Source organism: Homo sapiens, chromosome 13 (assembly GCF_000001405.40).
Source record: "Homo sapiens chromosome 13, GRCh38.p14 Primary Assembly".
NCBI classification, from domain to species: Eukaryota; Metazoa; Chordata; class Mammalia; order Primates; family Hominidae; genus Homo; species Homo sapiens.
The window spans coordinates 101,345,702-101,367,607 of NC_000013.11; the positions used below are offsets into that span (position 1 = coordinate 101,345,702).

The following is a 21,906-nucleotide window of genomic DNA, read 5'->3' on the forward strand; positions in this document are numbered from 1 at the left end:
CTATCTATCTATCTATCTAAGAGTACAGCAAAGAGAATATATATATATATATATATATATATATATATATTTAGAGAGGGAGAGAGAGAGAAAGAGAGACCTTGAGAGACCTTCTTGCTCTTATGTTGTAGATACCAAATCACTGATGACAAGCATTGTTGATGAGGTTAATAATATTTGTACCACACACTTTGAAATATAGAGTCAGTTAAGACTGAAGCGAAGATGGATCATTTGGCTTACATATAAGAATGAGAAATGAGGAGATATACGTGACGTGTCTGTCTAAAATCATATCTTTCTGGCCCACCCAACTGTGGTAATTGGTAATATATATATGAGACCTTGAGAGACTTTCTCTCTCTCTCTCTCTCTCTCTCTCTCTCTATATATATATATATATATATATATGATGTTATTTGCAAAATTGTGTATGTGTATCTGAATATAGTTTTAAGATTCATAATCCATAAATGATATTCATAACATTAATTACATATTAAACATTCTCAAATGATATCTGATTCATCCCCACAATAGCTCTTTATAAGAATACTATCACCATTACGGTTTTTGCCATTACAGACTGAGACCCAGATAAGCAAAGGAAGGAATTTTTCTACAGATTTGCAAAGAACGTTAACTTGTCTGAGGAGTCATTGTGATTCACAAAATTCTTGTCTCACTGTGGGCACACATTTTACTTCCCCACTTCTAAGCAATGTTGCATGATGAAAATCATTTTCTTTGCAGTACGAATACTACGAAACTCATCAATGATACTTGTCCTTCTGAGTGTTGGAAGGTGTCTAGTTTAGAAATAACCAGACAAATAAGGAGAAATGGAAGGAACTCAAGGTATCCCATAGGAAAGAGAGATTATGAGGTGATTTAGTGATAGCTCTAGGAATATAAGAATCCTTTAGGTGGATAATGACATAACCCATTTTTATCCTTCTTAAGAATAGGTTGGATATCAACTTGATATAAAGGATTTAGATATGTAATGGCTTTCCTGACAGCAAGTATAGATAACATAGGACTGCTGACTGTAGACTCTCATTCTGGGTTGACCTTAAAAATGGACCCCAAATAGCTGCTATCTGAGGTATCCCACACAGATTGAGCAGACGCCAAAGTCTGGGCTTGATGATTTCAGAAGCCTTCTAAATCCATAATTGTGTTACACTAATTTCCCACTACATCAATGTTTCTAGGAATTTCTTAAATGGAGAACAACCCTAAGACAGCCTCAGTCACGTGAGTTTCTGACCAAATTGAGGTAGACTTACCAGATGACTCTTTTTCTTTAATACCTTCTTATGTTCAGTTGCTGCTTCCATCCCTTTTATAATATGCTTTCTCTAAAGTCTGACACCTAATTGTGCAATCCCTTAGCTATTTGCTGCCACCACGCATACACACACGTACATAGTTTTACACACACACACACACACACACACACCCCATGGCTGGTGATACTTTGCCCACTTCTCAGCCATAAACAAAGCTCCAGAAACTTCACCCATGATTCAAACACCCTAAGCTATTCCTTTAGGGTTCTGCCCTTTGTCAGCAGCAGATGAGCTCATCTGTCTGCTGGTCTCAGGAAATAAGTGGTTAAATCATTGCTCCCTCTAGTCATATTTTAAGCTGGTCCTTTGGACCCCATCTGTAAAACCCAAGGGAAAGGCTCTAATTGTGGAAATTACCACAATTGGGTGGGTCAGAAAGATATTATTTTAGACAGACACATCGTGTATATCTCCCCATTTCTCATTCTTACATGTAGGCCAAATGATTCATCTTTGCTTCAGTCTGATCTGACTCTGTTTCAGAATGTGTGGTACAAATACTATGAACCTCATCAACGATGCTTGTCATCAATGATTTGGTACCTACAATATAACAGTAAGATGGTAAGGAGACTGGGCTTCTGAGTTTCAGAGTGAGGCTTTCTGGGTTTGATCCCAGCTCTGCCATTTACTGGTTGTGTGACTTAAATAAGGCTCTAAGGGCCTCTAAGCTCAGCTTCCTCATCTGTAAGGTAGAGAGAGTAATCATAATTAAAAGCAAAGCTCATGTGAGGGTTAAGTAAAGTAAACCAAGTAATGCACTTTGCATAGCACCTAATGTGTTGCAAGTACTGTACTCAAATAATGCTTGATCTAAATGATTATTAATCATTACAATAATACAATGTAGCATAAATCCCAGCATGTAAAAACAGAACAATAAAGACTTGTTAAAAGAGGAGAAGAAACTTTAGCATGTTCATAGAACTATGCAGCTAAGAGATACTATATGGATCACCTAGTTCTTCATTTACTCTTGAAGGCAAGGTGAAGTTCAGAGAGGGAAGGGTCTACTAGCCCATCAAAATTACATATATTTTTAATTCCAAATACTTTTAAAAATACAATAGCAGAAATGTCTAAGATAACACTCTGTCTACATGAAAAAGTTTCCAAAAAAATCACATTTCAGATATTTGGAGAAGAAATTGGACTTTGGAGCCAATCTTCTTGGCTGTGAGTTCTGACCTACTTATTACATGTGTGACTTAAGCATGCTTTAGTTTTCCAATCCATAATGGTGTGAAAACGTCTACCTCATAAGCCTGGGGTGAGACGTAAGTATTTACATCTGTAAATTGTATAAAACAGGTACTTGATAGACAATCAATGCTAGATGTTACCTACTGTTATTGACAGTTTGAAAGTTGTAGATTTCCTAGATTGAAACTCCAGCCCTGTGTGTATAGCCTCAGTTATCCCACTTCCAAAATGAGGATAGTTATTGCATTCTTTGTAGGGGCATTTTAATGATTAAATTAGATAATGTGCAACACTCAGAATGGTGCCAAAAATAAGTTAATCACTCAACTGTTAATGATTATGATTTTTTAAATTAATTTATAAATATTAGAGTATTTTTTCCTTTTTTCTTCCTATTATATTTGCTTTTTCTTTCATATTAGTGCTGATACTCATTTTAAGCACAACTCTCACTAGATATTATTTTGAAGTCTTTGGCTTCAGAGGCAGCAGGCTTGAAACATTTTTACCAACATCAAGTTATTAGCAAATGTTTATTAGAAACACATTTATTAGAAGATTAATTGCCCTGGAACACATGTATCTAAAACCACAAGGTAATTACTGTTTTTAAAAATTGAAATGAATGTCAAGAGTTTCAGAATATATATTTGTTAATCTTTGTTTCATTTTTTTCAGTTAACAAGAATCTTCCAGAGTTTATTTTTATTCATTAACCTTAATTATTTCCGTAGTCATTTTCCCTCAGGTACTTTGGATAGAGAACAAGTGACTCTCTGGAGTTGGGGGTGGGGTGGATGGAATTCTTGCCCCACCAGGAAAATCCTGGACATAGACAATGATTCTTTCAGTGGTAATAAATATCCACTCATGTTTAAACGGGTTTCAAGACCAGCATTTCTTACTCACATATTTCTTGAATAAAGTATCTACTTGTAATCTCCCTCTTTTAACTTTTTAGCCCATTTCTGTGACTCCAAGACAATGAAATTACTTTTGTTCACTTCCATATGATATACCCAATCAGAAAAATTTTAGTTTTATCTTCTGTGACCTCTCAGCAGTGCTCTGAATTGTTGTTTTTGTGGTAGAGAAAATACTGGTCCCCTAAAGATGTCCCCATTCTAACATATGGAACCTGTGAGTAGATAATGTTGCATAGCAAAAGGGAACTAAAGTTATAGGTGTGATTAAGGCTAAAGACATTAAATTTGGGAGATGATCCTGAATTATCCAGGTGGACCCAACCTAACTCCATGAATCACTAACAGTGATCATGGCTGTGGTTGGAGAGAGATGTGAGTATGGGAGGAAGACACAGATGCAACTCTGCTGGCTTTGAAGGTGCTGGTTTGTCCATATTTCTTAGGCCATTCTGCTTTTCCATCTCCTCTAGTCGTGAGCTGACCTTTAGTCATGAGCTGCTCTGAGCTCTGTCTTTGACCTTTCTCTTTTCATGATAACTCTCCCAGGCAATCTCATCCACTTTCATGATTTCTCAATTCTCTGTCATCCTTTACATCGTTGTAGAGTCTTAGAGCTACATGTCCAACTGCTTATTAGATTTCTCCACTTGGCTACACCACAAGTACCTCCAGCTCAATAGGTCCCTTATTCAATTTGAAATCCTAAACCAGAGTTCCCTGTCATAACAAACAGGACCAGCTTCCAAACCGTGGAGCAAACTTGAAGTCTTAGAATCATGCTTGATACCTACTTCTCCCTCAACCCTCATAAGTAATCGTCACGTTCTCCAACATATTCTCAAAATATCTTTTGAGCTAATTCCATTCTCTCCATCTCCCTCTCTACACACACTCTTATCTGGCCTCCTCACTGGCCACCCTGCCTCCCACTCTTAGCCTTTCTGATACATTTGGCACAAAGCATATGGAGAGACCCTTCATAATCACTGTCCTACCTTAACAGTGGCAAACCTGTAACATGGTCTGCAAGATACTGAAGGATCTGGCTCCTCCCACACTTCAAACACCCCTTTGTACCCCCTTTCCCCCAAGTATCCCAGTGTCTGACCACGTTGGCCTTCTCCCAGCTCCTGCCTAATGCAGGGTCTTCTCCTCCACTTGGAAGTCTCTCCTGTTTTCTTTGGTTAACCCCATTTTTGTAGCCTTCAGGCCCCAGCTTAACTATCATTTTCTCGGGGGAGCCACTCCAAGTGCCTTCCACTGGGCCAGGTTTCCCTGCTATAACTTCTCAAGGTACCCTCACTTTTTGTTTCTGGCACTTGAGACAAAGGCAATTCATGTTTGTGTGGTCATCTGTTCATTGGATGTCTTCCAAACTCAACTGTTCCTTAGTGTAATTTCCAATTCCATGAAGTCCCTGACACAGCGTCTATGATAGTTAAATTTATGTATCAACTTGACTAAAGTATGGTGCCTGGCTGTTTGGTTGAACACCAGTCTAGATGTTGCTGTGAAGGTATTTTACAGTTGTGATTAACACTTAAATTGATAGACTTTGAGTAAAGCATGTCACCCTCCATAATGTGAGTGGGACTCATCTTATTAATAGGAAAGATTTTGACTTCTCTGCAGGGAGAGGTCACTGGCCTACCACATCTTTGGCAGAGCCTTTGGCCTGCCACATCAGCTTCTGCTGAAATTTCCAGGCTGCCCTGAAGATTTTGGTCTTAACAGCCTACAAAATTACATGAGCCAATTCCTTAAAGTAAATCTCTTTATATCTGTATCTGTATCTATAGACATATCTTTTGAGCTAAGCCAACATACATATATGTATATACACATACATATATATAATATATTCTATTCTATATTCTCTCTGGAGAAACCTAATATATAGTAGATGTTTAATAATTATTTTCTGAATAAATGAATGAATGAATGAATGTGTCTTTCTACCATTATTTAAATCTATGGTGAATTATTTATTTGTAAACTACAGAAACTCTTTAATAAGTGGATCCTGTTGTTTTATGCACTTTTAAGTGTAATAATCCACAAATTGGCACTGATTTTCAATGTTTTAAATTTCTGGCTTTAGTAGCTTCCATGTATCAAAATGAGTACTAGAATCCCTGGGAGCAGCTAATTGTTTTTTTAAAAGCCTTCAATTATCCTCCTAGCATATGTTTGCTTGTTTGTTTTTAATTCTTAACAAAACATTCTATTTACAAATAACATTTTGTAGGAGTTTGAGATCTAAGAAAATGTGTTCTGAACTTGTTACTAAAATTGTTGATAATGGCCACAAACAATACCTCAGGACCTCAGAGTCCTGTGGTTTTAAGTTATTCACCACTCCTAGCGGTGCAGAGCACTGAGCTGTATATCACAACACAAAGATGATCATCTCAGTTCGGTGATTAACCAACTTAATTACCTTGGGAGATTCACTTGAAACATTTGAGCTTCAGTTTCCTCATCTGAAAAATGAGAAACTTTCCAGCTGTTTAAAAAACAATTCCCAGAAGGACCTCATAACGCTTTCATATAAAAGAAAAGGGATATACTTAAGCAAAAGCATGTGCCCCATAATTCAACATATGCTTCACTGTGCATAGTTCTCCTCTCACCACAAGACTCACCAACGACAAAGGCAATAGCTTAAGACTTCATGTTAAGATTCCTCTCTTCGTTATTCACAATATCGTCTTTCTCTACAGATATGGAACTACCATCATGGCTTCTGGCACTGCACTTAGTGTTGGCCTTCTGTAATCACTGTCATTAATGAATATGACTATGCTTATGATGACTTAGCCTCTTTTCAGAAAAATTTTCCTGTATTCGTAGGGGGGCACTTAATTGTATTTGAATGTCTGTTTATTAATTCATAATAATTATTTTTGACAAGCCTACTCTATGCCACACAGCATGCTAGGAATGGAGATGAATAAAAGGAATAAAATGGACTCAGGGACTTTACTGCTTAGTATGAGAGAGAATAAAAAAGGAATGACCACAGGAGAGTGTGATGAATGCTTTAAGAGCTATCTATATGCTCCTGATGTTAACTGAAGTTCAAAGCGGAAACATCAACTATGACTACGGGTGGCAGATGGTGGGTACTGGGAAAACCTTGCAATAGGGTGTTGCTTGGAGTGACTATTATTAAAGGATGCACACGTACTAGTTCTAGGGATGGAATAAATAGCATAACATTCTGGAAAGTGAAAATGTCAGAGCCTGCATTTGCATATGAGAGAGAGAGAGTGACAGAAAGAAAGAGAGAGAGAAAGAGAGAGACCTTTTCACCTTTTCTCTGGTGAGTGTAGCTGTTTAGTGAGATACAAGGATTGTTAACAAGCAGTTGTTATCATACAAAAGCAATTTTTAAACTACACTGTTAGAGATTTATAGATTAGGGTAAAAGACAAGGATTCGTGCTACCCTAAATGGATACTGTGACTGATGCAGCATGAGCTGATTATAAACTGTTCCTAGTAGGTGAGAAAGGACAAAAAAGGTCAAAAGATACTCACAAAATAAATTATTACTAAATTTACTTGCTAGATTTTCAAAACATATACCTATGATAGGAATTTATACATAGCAATTTTGTTTACATTGTTATTACCTTTTTTTGTTAAAAAGCTAAAGACAAACAGGCTAAGGATTACTTCTTGGTATCGAAATTTGACCCATTTGTTGTAAAAGACATTTGCAGAGTCCAAGCTACAATACATTTCTGAAGTCGGCATTCCATAAGAAATTGTCAGTGATGTAAATAAATAAGTAGCCCAACAAATCCACATGCAACAGATAACACTATACAACTTGAGCATTTTGTTTTTGATTGCATCTGTAAGGCTTCATTTTTATTTATATAGTATGTTCTAGAAATACATCAAAAATAGAGGAACACAATTCTAAATAAACCCATGGAGAAAATTACACCCACACACAATCATACATAGACACAGACACAGACTCTTTTGCACTCAAGAGAATAATGAATATAGCCTTTGATACCTTACGTGGTGCTTGTCTTGCCTTTTGTGGCAGATATAAAAATTTAGCAAGACACATTATCTTGCTAAAAGCTGACCCCTAGATTGAGAGGTTTTCCTGGTCATTGCATGTACTTACAGAAAACTTAGTCTGGCTGTTACCGCCTTCCAGCTTCACTTCAGACAATCATCTGACTTCATTTTCACTCTTATTTAGCTTCCTCTGGTCAGGATTAATTATAAACTCCTATGAATTGGTCTAGCTAATTCTAATGCTGGATGCTTTGGAATACTAATCCCACCCTGGAAAGCAAGAGTCTTATTTGCAGAGATAAATTATTTATTGATTTTGGAAAACTTTCAATGGCTCCGCCTGGACTTTTAGTGGAACTGCAAAACAAGATAAATATTCTGAAGCAGGAAATAATATTGACATCACACCTCTTTTAATAAACAAGTTAACCTGGCACATTTTTTCTAGGAAATAAGTTGTAAAACTGAGTATTTTAATATGATTTTCCCACTCCTTTCACCCATTCCTGAAAGGGTTGGTAGGCAAAGTTGTAAAGAATTGTAGCCATCATGCATAAAAATGGTAAAATTAAGTATTTTTTCAAATATTGTGACTATGAAATTTAAGTGACAATGCAGTACATGATTTTATTTTAAAGGAATATTTTAAATAGTTATCTTGTTATATCTGAATAGCTTTTTAAAATAATATATGTTCCCCAAGTTGACTCCCTCAACTACTTTGCCAGTATGGATAAGGGACAGTGCACCTGACAGAAGCCAGAAGACTGCAGTTGGGTTAGGATAAGGCAATGAGAGGGCATGAACATATTCAAAATAATATCAGAAAAGTTGGTCGGGTGCAGTGGCTCACGCCTGCAATCCCAGCACTTTGGGAGGCCGAGGCGGGCGGATCACCTAAGGTCAGGAATTCGAGACCAGCCTGGCCAACACAGTAAAACCCATCTCTACTAAAAATACAAAAATTAGCCAGGTTTGGTAGCGTATGCCTGTAATCCCAGCTACTTGGGAGGCTGAGGCAGGAGAATCACTTGAACCCAGCGGGTAGAGGTTGCACTGAGCCAACATCATGCCACTGAACTACAGCCTGGGCAACAGAGTGAGATTCCACCTCAAAAAGAAAAGAAAAGAAAAGTTAAGCATCAGGACACAGAGGATGCACTGATCAGCTCCAAACTGAAATGTGAAACCGTTTGAGGTTATAAGGCAGTCCACTGTCTTTGACTTTTAAAATCTGGGCCAAGAGATCCTCACGCAGCAACTTTTCTCCTTTTGCCTTAGGAACTGGAAACTACAGGGTGAGAATCTATATGTAAAGAGAGCCAGTTGACATAATGGAAAGGGGCCACCAGAATTTGGGGCCAAGCATAACAGAACTTCAGTTGGTAATTCAGCCAATTAACTTTGGCAAGGAGCAATTTGCTCATCTTTCTTGTGAAGATCAAATTTATGAAACTGTATTATAAATTAGAAATTGTGAATATAAATCACCTCTTACATACTTGGAGGTCAAAATATATTTATGTTAATTGAATGTGGTTTGACTGAGTTGTATGGCTGGAGAGAGGCAATTTTTTTTCCACTCCAATAAGCTTTCATCCTTTCAAGGTGGCCAGACATACTAACGACTCCCTGATATAGTTTGGATATTTGTCCTTGCGCAAATCTCATCGAAGTATACTCCTCAGCGCTGGAGGTGGGGCCTGGTGGGAGGTGATTGGATCACAGGGGCAGAACCCTCATGAATGGCTTGAGCCAACTCCTAGGTGATCAATGAGCTCCTGCTCTGAGTTCACAGGGGATCTGGTCATTTACAAGTGTAGGGCACCTCCCCTCCACTATCTCTCTCTCGTGTTCATTCTTGTCACGTGATGTGCCTGCTCCCCGTCTGCCTTCTGCCATGATTGTAAGCTTCCTGAGGCCTCATCAGAAGCTGAGCAGGTGCCTGGTGCCATGCTTCCTGTACAGCCTGGAGAACCATGAGCCAATTAAACCTTTCTTCTTTATAAAATACCCAGTCTCCAACTTGGATAAAGAGTTAAGATCCATTGGTATGCTGTATTCAGGGGACCGATCTCATGTGCAAAGACACACATAGGCTCAAAATAAAGGGATGGAGGAAGACCTACCAAGCAAATGGAAAGAAAAAAAAAAATCAGGGGTTGCAATCCTAGCCTCTGAGAAAACGGACTTTAAACAAACAAAGATAAAAAAAGACAAAGAATGGCATTACTTAAAGGTAAAGGGATCAATTCAACAAGAAGAGCTAACTATCCTAAATATATATGCACCCAATACAGGAGCACCCAGATTCATAAAACAAGTTCTTAGAGATCCACAAAGAGACTTAGACTCCCACAAAATAATAGTGGGAGAATTTAACACCCCACTGTCAATATTAGACAGATTAACGAGACAGAAAATTAACAAGGATATTCAGGACTTGAACTCAGCTCTGGATCAAGTGGACCTAATGGACATCTATAGAACTCTCAACCCCAAATCAACAGAATATACATTCTTCTCAGTGCGACATGGCACTTATTCTAAAATCAACCACATAATTGGAAGTAAAACACTGCTCAGCAAATGCAAAAGAACTGAACTCATAACAAACAGTCTCTCAGACCACAGTGCAATCAAATTAGAACTCAGGATTAAGAAACTCACTCAAAACAACACAATTACAAGGAAATTGAACAACCTGCTGCTGAATGACTCCTGAGTAAATAATGAAGTTAAGGCACAAATCAAGAAGTTCTTTGAAACCAATGAGAACAAAGAGACAACGTACCAGAATATCTGGGAACTAAAGCAGTGTTAAGAAGGAAATTTATAGTACTAAATGCCCACATCAGAAAGCTAGAAATATCTCAAATGGATACCCTAACATCACAATGAAAAGAACTAGAGAAGCAAGAGCAAAAAAATCTAAAAGCTAGCAGAAGACAAGAAATAACTAAGATCAGAGCAGAATTGAAGGAGACAGTGACACAAGAAGCCATTCAAAAAATTAATGAATTCAGGAGCTAATTTTTGAAAAAATTAACAAAATAGATAGACAGACTGCTAGCTAAACTGATAAAGAAGAAAAGAGAGAAGAATCAAATAGACACAATAAAAAATGATAACGGGGATATCACCACTGACCCCACAGAAATACAAAATACCATCAGAATACTATAAACATGTCTACCTAAATAAACTAGAAAATCTAGAAGAAATGGATAAATTCTTGGACACACGCACCCTCCCAAGAAGTTGGCTCCCTAAATAAACCAATAACAAGTTCTGAAATTGAGGTAGTAATTAATAGCCTACCAACCAAAAAAAGCCCAGGACCAGACAGATTCACAGCCAAATTCTACCAGAGGTACAAAGAGGAGCTGGTATCATTCCTTCTGAAACTATTCCAAAAGAATTGAAAAGGAGGGACTCCTTCCTAACTCATTTTATGAGGTCAGCATCATCCCGATACGAAAACCTGGCAGAGACACAACAACAACAAAAATAAAACTTCAGGCCAATATCCCTGATGAACATCAATGCAAAAATCCTCAATAAAATACTGGCAAACCGAATCCAACAGCACATCAAAAAGCTTACCCACCACAATCAAGTCGGCTTCATCCCTGAAGTGTAAGGCTGGTTCAGCATACACAAATCAATAAACGTAATTCATCACATAAACAGAACCAGAGACAAAAGCCACATGATTCTCAATAGATGCAGAAAAGGCCTTTGATAAAATTCAACAACTCTTCATGTTAAAAGCTTTCAATAAACTAGGTATTGATGGAACATATCTCAAAATAATAAGTGCTATTTGTGACAAACCCACAGCCAGTATCATACTGAATGGGAAAAAGCTGGAAGCATTCTTTTTGAAAACTGGCACAAGACAAGGATGCCCTCTCTCACCACTCCTATTCAACATAGTATTGGATGTTCTGGCCAGAGCAATCAGTCAAGAGAAAGAAATAAAGGGTATTTAAATAGGAAGAGAGGAAGTGAAATTTTCTGTTTCCAGATGTCGTGATTCTATAGTTAGAAAACCCCATCATCTCAGCCCGAAAACTCCTTAACCTGATAAGCAACTTCAGCAAATCTCAGGATACAAAATGGATGTGCAAAAATCACAAGTATTCCTATACACCAAAAATACACAAGCAGAGAGCCAAATCATGAATGAACTCCCATTCACAATTGCTACAAAGAGAATAAAATACTTAGGAATACAACTTACAAAGGACGTGAAGGACCTCTTCAAGGAGAACTACAAATCACTGCTCAAGGAAATAAGAGACGACACAAACAAATGGAAAAACATTCCATCCTCATGGATAGGAAGAATCAATATCATGAAAATGGCCATACTGCCCAAAATAAATTATAGATTCAATGCTATTCCCATCAAACTACCATTGACATTCTTCACAGAATTAGAAAAAAACTACCCTAAATTTCATATGGAACCAAAAAAGAGCCTGTATAACCAAGACAATCCTTAGGAAAAAGAACAAAGCTGGAGGCATCATGCTACCTGACTTCAAACTATACTACAAGGCTAGAGTAACCAAAACAGCATGGCACTGGTACCAAAACAGCCATATAGACCAATGGAACAGAACAGAGACCTCAGAAATCACATCACGCATCTACAACCATCTGATCTTTGACAAACCTGACAAAAACAAGCAGTGGGGAAAGGATTCCCTATTTAATAAATGGTGCTGAGAAAACTTGCTAGCCATGTGCAGAAAACTAAAACTGGACCCCTTATACCTTAGACAAAAATTAAATCGAGATGGATTAAAGACTTAAATGTTAAACCCATAACCATAAAAACCCTAGAAGAAAACTTAGGCAATACTATTCAGGACATAGACATGGACAGTGATTTCATGATGAAAATGCTAAAAGCAATGGCAAGAAAAGCCAAAACAGACAAATGGGATCTAATTAAACTAGAAGTACTAAAGAGCTTATGCACAGCAAAAGAAACTATCATCAGAGTGAACAGGCAACCTACAGAATAGAATAGGAGAAAATTTTTGCAATCTACCCATCTGACAAAGGTCTAATATCCACAACCTATAAGAAATGTAAACAAATTTGCAAGAAAAAAAGAAACAACCCCATCAAAAAGTGAACAAAGGATATGAACAGACTCTTCTCAAAAGAAGATATTTATGCAGCCAAAAAACATGAAAAAAAGCTCAACACCACTGATCACTAGGGAAATGCAAACCAAAACCACAATGCAGTACCATTTCACACCAGTCAGAACGGCGATTATTAAAAAGTCAAGAAACAATAAATGCTGGCGAGGATGTGGAGAAATAGGAACGCTTTTACACTGTTGGTAGGAATGTAAATTAGTTCAACCACTGTGGAAGACAATGTGATGATTCATCAAGGATCTAGAACCAGAAATAAAATTTGACACAGCAATCCCATTACTGGGTATACACCCAAAAGAATAGACATCATTCTACTATAAAGATACATGTACACGTATGTTTCTTGCAACACTATTTACAATAGCAAAGACACGGAACCACCCAAATACCCATCAAGGATAGACTGGACTAAGAAAATGTGGGACATATACACCATGGAATACTATGCAGCCATAAAAAGAAATGAGATCATATCCTTTGCAGGGACATGGATGAAGCTGGAAGCCATCACCTTCAGCAAACGTAACACAGGATCAGAAAACCAAACAGCGCATGTTCTCACTCATAAGTGGGAGTTGAACAATGAGAACATACAACACATACTGGGGTCTGTCGCGGGGTGAGGGGCAGGGGGAGGGAGAGCATTAGGACAAATAGCTAATGCATGCGGGGCTGAAAACATAGATGATGGGTTGACAGGTGCAGCAAACCACCATGGCACATGTATACCTAGGTAGCAAACCTGCACATTCTGCCCATGTATCCCACAACTTAAAGTAAAAATTTTTTAAAAAGCAAACAAGTGAATAAATGGATACAAAGCAGGAAAAAAAGTAGAAAATACTTATTTAACAGGATGGCATTTATTACCCAGAAAGTTCTGAAAAAAATTATTAGGAGATGCTTGCTCCCTAGGGTGCTAAAGACTACTTAAAATCAACATTACAAATTACAGAACATGAAAGATACGTGTATCTTGAGCTTCGCATAAAACTGATGTCTCTTTATGGTTAAATTTAGACTATAATGTACTTTTGAGGGGGCAATATCACAGCAGTGATGCTGCGTCCTTCTGTGTGCATCAGCACATCATAAAAATTTGTCCTAGTGCAGTTAATGTTTATGATTCACTTGGTTAAAGAGCTCTCTGACAGACTGTCGCACTACAGAGTTAATTATTTTTCTCTTAATTATTAGGTATCTTTATGCAGCTGATGTGCATAAACCATCACATTTAATCTGGCAGCTGCCCTTCTTTCTTAGGTTTTCTTTGCATATATCTGTCTTTGGTAAATGAAAACTCTCATCTTTGTTTACAAGCCAGAAAAACTAGAAAAAGAAACACAGGCTCTTCCACTTACTGAATTTTTGACAAAATATTCTTCTTTGGCCAAAAACATTGACATTACTGGTGAGCTTGTTAAAAATTCAGAAACTGAGGCTTTCTTCCAGATCTTCTGAAAAAATAATCTACATTAACACGATCTCCAGTTTATTGTACACATTAAGATTTGAGAGGTACCTTTTAAGTCAATATTTCTTTTCCATCTGAAAAATATACAGAACTCATTCTGTATGATACAAATATAGGACCCAAAAATGTAATAAAAGAAATAAGATACCCAGTCTCAGTTTTTCTTTTTCTCTTTCTTTCTTTTTCTTTCTTTCTTTCTCTTTCTTTCTTTTCTTTCTCTTTCTCTTTTTCTTTCCTTTCTTTTTTCTTTCTTTCTCTCTTTTTTTCTTTCTTTCTTTCTCTTTCTTCCTCTCTTCCTCTCTTCCTCTCTCTCTCTCTCTCTCTCTCTCTCTCTCTCTCTCTCTCCTTCCTTCCTTCCTTCCTTCGATGGAGTTTCACTCTGTGACCCAGGCTAGAATGCAGTGGCATGATCTCGGCTCACTGCAACCTCCCTCACCTCCCGGCTCCAACGATTCTTGTGCCTCAGCCTCCCAAGTAGCTGGGATCACAGGTGCACAGTACCATTCCCAGCTATTTCTTGTATTTTCAGTAGAGATGGGGTTCCACCATATTGCCCAGGTTGGTCTTGAACTCCTAGTCTCAAGTCATCTGCCCGTCTTGACCTCTCAAAGTGCTGGGATTACAGGCATGAGCCACCGTGCCCTGCCAGTTTCAGGTATTTCTTTATAGCAATGAAAGAATGGATTTACAAACTCCCCAATGATGTGAACACGAAAAGTAAAGTCAGTGAGGGATTTTAAAAGTGCCAATGCCCCTGACGACTCCAACCACACTCAACCACAAAGTACACCAGCCCAATTCAATCTCTAGAAATAAGAACATGTAAGAGTCACTAAATAAATAAAATTGAGATGGTTGTCCGTCCCAGAAAACAAAGACATACCTGCCTCTTTGCAGGAAAGACAGGAGGCTCTAATTACCTCTGGTGCTCCTTGGACATTTCTGGGGAAATAGTCTTAAGGGAAGAGGACAGGCATGCTACCCTTGGGCAGGGCAGTAAGCAGCTAGCTAGAAGACTAACATTTCTTTGAAGACTCAAGGTCTATTTTTTTAAAAAGCCATGTAATTTTGTGTTCTACTCTATAACATATCTTTTGGAGTTTAATTGCAAAACTAAAATTTTAAACGATTGATTTCTAACCTGGCCAATTCTGAGAATCTCAGCCTTGCCTAAAAATACGAATCACAAATGTGGCTTGGAATCAGTATTTTTTACAACTTTTGCCAGGTGATTTTCTTTACCAAAGAGATTTCATCCTAAAAATTAATTTTCAAAATTTACTCTTGGTGCTGCTGTAGTTATGCATACTTATTATGGTTTCTATCATGGGGAAAACCAAGCTGGTTGGGTGGAACCTGAGATACAAAAGTGATAGTAAATATCGATTCTGTGGAGGCGGCTACAGTAAACACTATTTGTGAGGGACAGAATAGGTAGAGCTCCTCATTCCACACTCACAGAGGATGTTCAGAAGTTCCAGTGCATGCCTTTAGAATTCAGTCTTAAAATAAGCAATCGTAATTAACCACTTACTCATGCGTCCCACTGAGAACTTGTCTTTTAAGAATAGGCTCCTTGTAACTAAAGGAAAACTAAATATTTTATTCAAACATTTTGGACACACATGTTGAAGGAAGGTTATCTCATACACTGAACAAGTTACAACTGAAAGCATAGAAAGCAGTGTGAGGGAGAAATGGGTCTAGTCTTGCTTCTGATACAAGCTGTTTCATCTCAGCCACTTTATTTAACTTTACTCAGCTTCAATTTCCTTGGCTGTAATATACAGTGTAAAAATGGAACATAACTTATCGGGTTGTTATAAGTATTAAGTGAGAAAATAACATACAGCAATTGTTCAATAAAAGTTATTTACCACTAAAAATAAGAATCTTATAACCTATAATATTACATTATCTTCTTTTTGGGAAGTAAACATATGATCAAAAGATGGATCAAAATAAGTTACATTTCTTTTAGACCCCCATTCAAACTGCATGGTTTTCTTTTGGTATACTGAAGACTCTCACAAACATTTTTGCTATTCTGGTAAAAATCATGCTGGTATTAATTTTCATCTGAAAGTTCAATTTATTCTGAAATATATTCTTATATTTACTTTATTAATATTATTATCATATGAAAGGCTGGTTTCTGGCACCTCAGGTGGTTCACATCTTGGAGATCAATGTGCAGAACAATTTTAAAAGAGATATATAGATAGTACTAAAAATATATAATATATCACTAGTTTATAGATTTAGATGAAGTCGAATCCCATGAAACATAACATATACATAGGGATAGAAACCAGACTTAATGAAAACTTTAATGTAGAAATTATACTACATATATTATAAACAGTTTATACATATGGATGTGGATCTCTATATGTCTATAGGTTTATGAATGTAGAATTAAAATACAGAAGTTTCTCAAATGGTAAAACGTACATAGGCTTGGAAGTTAGACTTGAGTTAAAATCCTGGCTTTCTTACTTACCATCTGGACATATTATTTAACCTCCCAGAAATGAAAGGATGGCTTAACATATGGAAATCAATAAACATGATACATTACATAAATAAACCAGGAACAAAAACCATGTTATTATTTCAATAGATGCAGAAAAAGCATTTGGTAAAATTCAACATGTCTTTATTATCAAAACACTAAAAAATTGAGTATAAAAGGGGTATACCTCAAAACAATAAAGACCATATTTGACAAACCCATGGCTAACATCATACCAAAGGCGGAAAAATTGAAAGCCTTTCTGCTAAGATCTGGAACAAGATCAGGACGCCCATTTTCATCAGATTTATTCAACATACTACTGGAAGTTCTAGCCAGAGCAATCAGATAAGAGAAAGAAATAAACGACATCCAAATTGGGAAGGAAGAAATAAAATTATCCTCATTTGCAGACGACATGATCTTACACTTAGAAAATCCTAAAGACTCCACCAAAAACTGTTAGAAATGATAAGCAAACTCAGTAAATTGCAGGATACAAAACCAACATACAAAAATTAATAGCATTTATATACACCAACAGTGAACAATCTGAAAAATAAATCAAGAAAGCAATGCCATTTACAATATTTATTAAAAAATTAAAAATGCCTAGGAATAATTGTGACTAAAGAAGTGAAAGATCTCTACAATGAAAACTATAACACTCTGATGAAAGAAATTGAAGTGGACACAAAAAATGGAAAGATATTCGATGCTCATGAATTGGAAGAATCAATATTGTTAAAATGTCAACACTACCCGAAGCAATCTACAGTTTCAATGCAATCTCTATCAAAATACCAATGACATTCTTCACAGGAATATAAAAAACTATCCTAAAATTTATATTAAAACACAAAAGATTCTGAATAGCCAAAGCAATCTCGTGCAAAAAGAACAAAGCTGGAGGCATCACACTAACTGACTTCAAAATATGCTACAAAGCTATAGCAACCAAACCAGCATGGTACTGGTAAAAAAACAGAAAATATCCCAATGGAATGGAATAGAAAACCCAGAAATAAATACATGCTTTTACAGCCAATTCATTCTTGACAAAGGTATCAAGAACATTAAGGAAAGGACAGTCTCTTCAACAAATGGTGCTGGGAAAAATGGATATCCATGTGCAGAAGAATAAAATTATGCTCCTACCTCTCATCATATAAAAATCAAATAATAAAGGATTAAAGACTTAAATCTAAGAACTGAATCTATGAAACTCCTAGAAGAAAACATTGGGTAAATGCTCCAGGACACTGGACTGGGCAAATTTTTGGGGGGACAAAATCTGAAAAGCACAGGCAACTAAAGCAAAAATAGATAAATGGAATTGCATTAAGCTCAAAACTTCGGCACAGCAAAGGAAACAATCAACAAATTGAAGTGACAGCCCACAGAATAAGGGAAAATGTCTGCAAATGATTCAACTGACAAAGGATTAATAACCAGAATATATAAAGAACTCAAATAACTCAATGGGAAAAATCTAATAATCTGATTAAGAAATGGGCAAAAAATCTGAATAGACATTTCTCAAAAGAAGACATACAAATGGCAAGTAGGTATATAAAAATGGTTAACATCACTAATCATCAGGGAAATGCAAATAAAAGCTACAGTGAAATATCATGTCACCCCAAGTTAAAATGGCTTTTATAAAAAAGACAGTGAGTGCTGGTGAGAATGTAGAGAAACAGGAACACTCATACACTGTTGGTGGTAATGCAAATTCTGACAGCCACTGTGAAAAACAGTACGGACTGAAAAAAACTAAACATGGAACAACTCTATGATCCAGCAATTTCACTATTGGGTATATATCCAAAAGGGAGGAAATCTATATATTTAAGAGATAGCAGCACTCACATGTTGACTGCAGCACTATTCCAAATAGCCAAATACGGAATCAACCTAACTGCCCACCAATGGATAAATGGATAAAGAAAATGTGATATGTATATATACACACACACAGTGTTAATACTATTCAGCCATAAAAATGAGTGAAATCCTGACGTTTGCAGCTGCATGGACAGAACTGGAGGTCATTATGTTAAAAGAAATAAGCCAAGCACAGAAAGACAAATATCACATGATCTCACTCATATTTAGGCCTTAAGTAAGTGGATCTTATGAAGATAGAAAGTAGATTGGTTGTTACCAGAGAAGGGGAAGGGTAAAGCCCAGGGTTGGATGAAGAAAGGTTGGTGAATGGGTACAAAAATACAGTCAGATAAAATAAATAAGACCTAAGCATTTGATAAATCAGTAGGGTGACTATAGTAAACAGTAATTTATTACATATTTCAAAATAGCTAGTAGAGAATAATTCAAATGTTCCCAGTATTAAGAAAAATGTTTCAGGTGATGGATATGCCAATTGCCCTGATTTGATTATTATGCCTTACATCAATGTATCGAAATATCATATGTACTCCAAAAATACTTACATCTATTGTGTCAATAAACATATGTAAATAAATAAATACATAGGAATCAAGAAGACGTCATAGACCGTTGCATGAATTTGGGGCAATTATGATTTTACATATTCTACAAAACTGTCTCTTGATAAAGTCCTTAGAAATTAAAAATTAATGCTCTAAATTCCAGTATGTTTCCATTTGTATTTCTTTTTCTTTTAACTTTTATTTTAGATTCAGGGATACATGTGCAGGTTTGTTATATAGGTAAACTGCGTGTCATGCGAGCGTGGCGTACAGATTGTTTCGCCACTCAGCTAATAAGCATAGCACCCGATAGGTAGTTTTTCAGTCCTCACCTTCCTCTCATCCTCCACCCTCAGGTAGGCTCCAGTGTCTGTTGTTGCCTTCTTTGTGTCTGTATGTACTCAGTGTTTAGCTCTCATTCATAAGTGAGAACAAGCGGTATTTGGTTTTCTCTTCCTGTGTTAGTTTGCTTAGGATAACGGCCTCCAGCTTCATTCATGTTGCTACAAAGGACATAGTCTCATTCTTTCTCATGGCTGCATAGCATTCCATGAAAAAACCTCTTTATTTTGTCAACAAAATTTATAAGACAATACTTCACTTATTTGCCAAGTACCCTAAAGAATACGTGACAAATAAATTTTAATTTAGTTGATAAATTTTAATGTATTTATTTTAATAAATGTAAAATGTATTTGGACCAGCAAGAGCAAACTGCAAAAAAATCCAACTTTATATTATCTCTAATTCAACTCTTGGTGATATTTTATAAAATACCAAGTTCTATAAACTTCCCCTGGGCAAGGTGACCATAAAATGCATTGTCTACATTGAGATTCCTTAAAATCGAATAACAGGCTGTTAGTGATTACTTTGAAACAGTAGGGATAAGCCAAGATTGTCCTGGGCATCTGTGATGTGTGATCACCCTACCTCTGGGCTTAAAGCTAGTGGTCCAGCCATCGCGAATATGTTCCTGAGTTCCTGTTTGAATCCTGCTCTCTCTATATTAAACTTTCATATATTTAATGGTTACACTTACTTACCTTAAAGTTTTTCTAATTATCTCACTCTTGGAAATAAGATTTCATTATTTGATACCGAGCTATGAATATGTTTCCCTTCTTTTTCAGGAATGATAATAAGGTGTCAGGTAAGTCTTCATCTTTTCTATTTAACCTGCCAGCTCATTTTTAAACATTCCTGTTCCAGCTTCGGGGAGATTTCTGCCATCACAGTTGGTATTTCACAACACCTGTTTCTGCTACAAGCCATTGCTCTCCTCAACTTTCTTTAGGAAATGAGCTGCTTTGCTTAGTCAAATCTCATTACTCTTTTCATAATTGCCTTAGGTCTCCATTCATTAACAGAGAAGAATCTAAAGCTTTACTAGTACTGCTACTGAAGACATAACTAAGATTTCCTGCTATTGGGCCTTACAGGAACTAAGTTCCATTTAAAAGCAAAACTGTATATATTGTGTTGCTTCTTTATCTTGTTTGCCTCACATATTAAACACAATCAGTTCTGGAGGTCAACTATGAAACCCAAGATATGCAAGTTTCTGGTCTGAAATCTCTGTCATGATTAGGCTATAATACATGCAAATCAATTAGGCAGAACTTGGAACAATTGTTAACAATTTCTCTTAATCGTTTCTCTTAAATGATTAAGAGAAATGAGGTCACGGCAGTAGCTGGTAACACTGATTGCTGAAAACACAGCCATCATACCTTAGCTTAATATGTGACTCGGAGATGTGTATAATACATTTTTTAAATAATAGTATTTCAATTGACAAATCATAATTGTATTACTTTAATGCAGCACCATGTGATGTTTTGATGTATGTATACAAGACATAATGGTTACATCGGGCCAATTAATATATCCATCATATCACTTAACTTTTTTGTGATGATACATTTGAAATTTACTTTCTTAGTTATGTTGACATATATAACGCATTATTATTGACCATTGTCACCCTGTTGTGCATGGATCTCAAAACTTACTCTTACTGCCTAGCTGAAACTTTGTACCCTTTGATCAGCAGCTCCTCATTCCCTTGCAGCTCCATCTCCTTCTCACCGCAGCCCCTGATAACCACCATTGTCCTCTCTACTTCAATGAATTAACTGGTTAGGATTCCACATATGCGTGAGATCATGCAGTATTGATCTTTCTGTGCCTGGCTTATTTCACTTAGCATAATGTCCTCTAGATTCATTCCTGTTATTCCAAATGACAGAATTTCTTTTTTTATTTTTTTTTATTTTTTTAATTTTAATATATAAAGTTGTATTTATTCAATGGACTCTGCAGTTGTAGAAAGAAACTCACAACTTAAATCTACCATCCCAGTTTGGGGCCAGCATTCTATTATACATCCTAGTACTCTATTACATTGTTTCATCTGAAAGGTATTATCCTGCCTTAATTTCCAATTCAAACACTCCATTCCTAATTCTAGAGTTTGCTCAAAGGTCATATTCTTTACAAAGACTATAAAACTCACATTTTCTCTCTTTTTTGACATCTGATAACACTTTCTAACTAATTATTATTATTATTACTAATCAATGCCTAAGGTAATTAATCTTTGGCTGCCTCAAGTGTGAGCTCCTCCAGGACATGACCTATTTTTTTCTTCCTCTTTTATCCCTAGTGCTTAATTCCACGTCCCATGCATTCTAGGTCTTAAAGCTTTTATGCTTAATAAATATTAAATTAATGAGCTGGGATTCTGGA

General features: G+C 36.5%; 1 protein-coding gene across 9 annotated transcripts in view; it reads right to left on the reverse strand.

Annotated features, from left to right (window-relative positions):
- NALCN (sodium leak channel, non-selective) overlaps positions 1-21,906 on the reverse strand; it is a 363,404-nt gene that overhangs the window by 291,926 nt on the left and 49,572 nt on the right. The window contains exon 1 of one of the 9 annotated variants that reach the window (XM_017020536.3): positions 1,787-2,368. The exons of the other annotated variants lie outside the window; for them this stretch is intronic. Coding sequence (XP_016876025.1) covers positions 1,787-1,983 — 197 coding nt within the window. The 5' untranslated portion in view covers positions 1,984-2,368. Of the gene's footprint in view, positions 1-1,786; positions 2,369-21,906 lie in introns of those variants that run through there. 9 annotated transcript variants of the gene reach the window in all.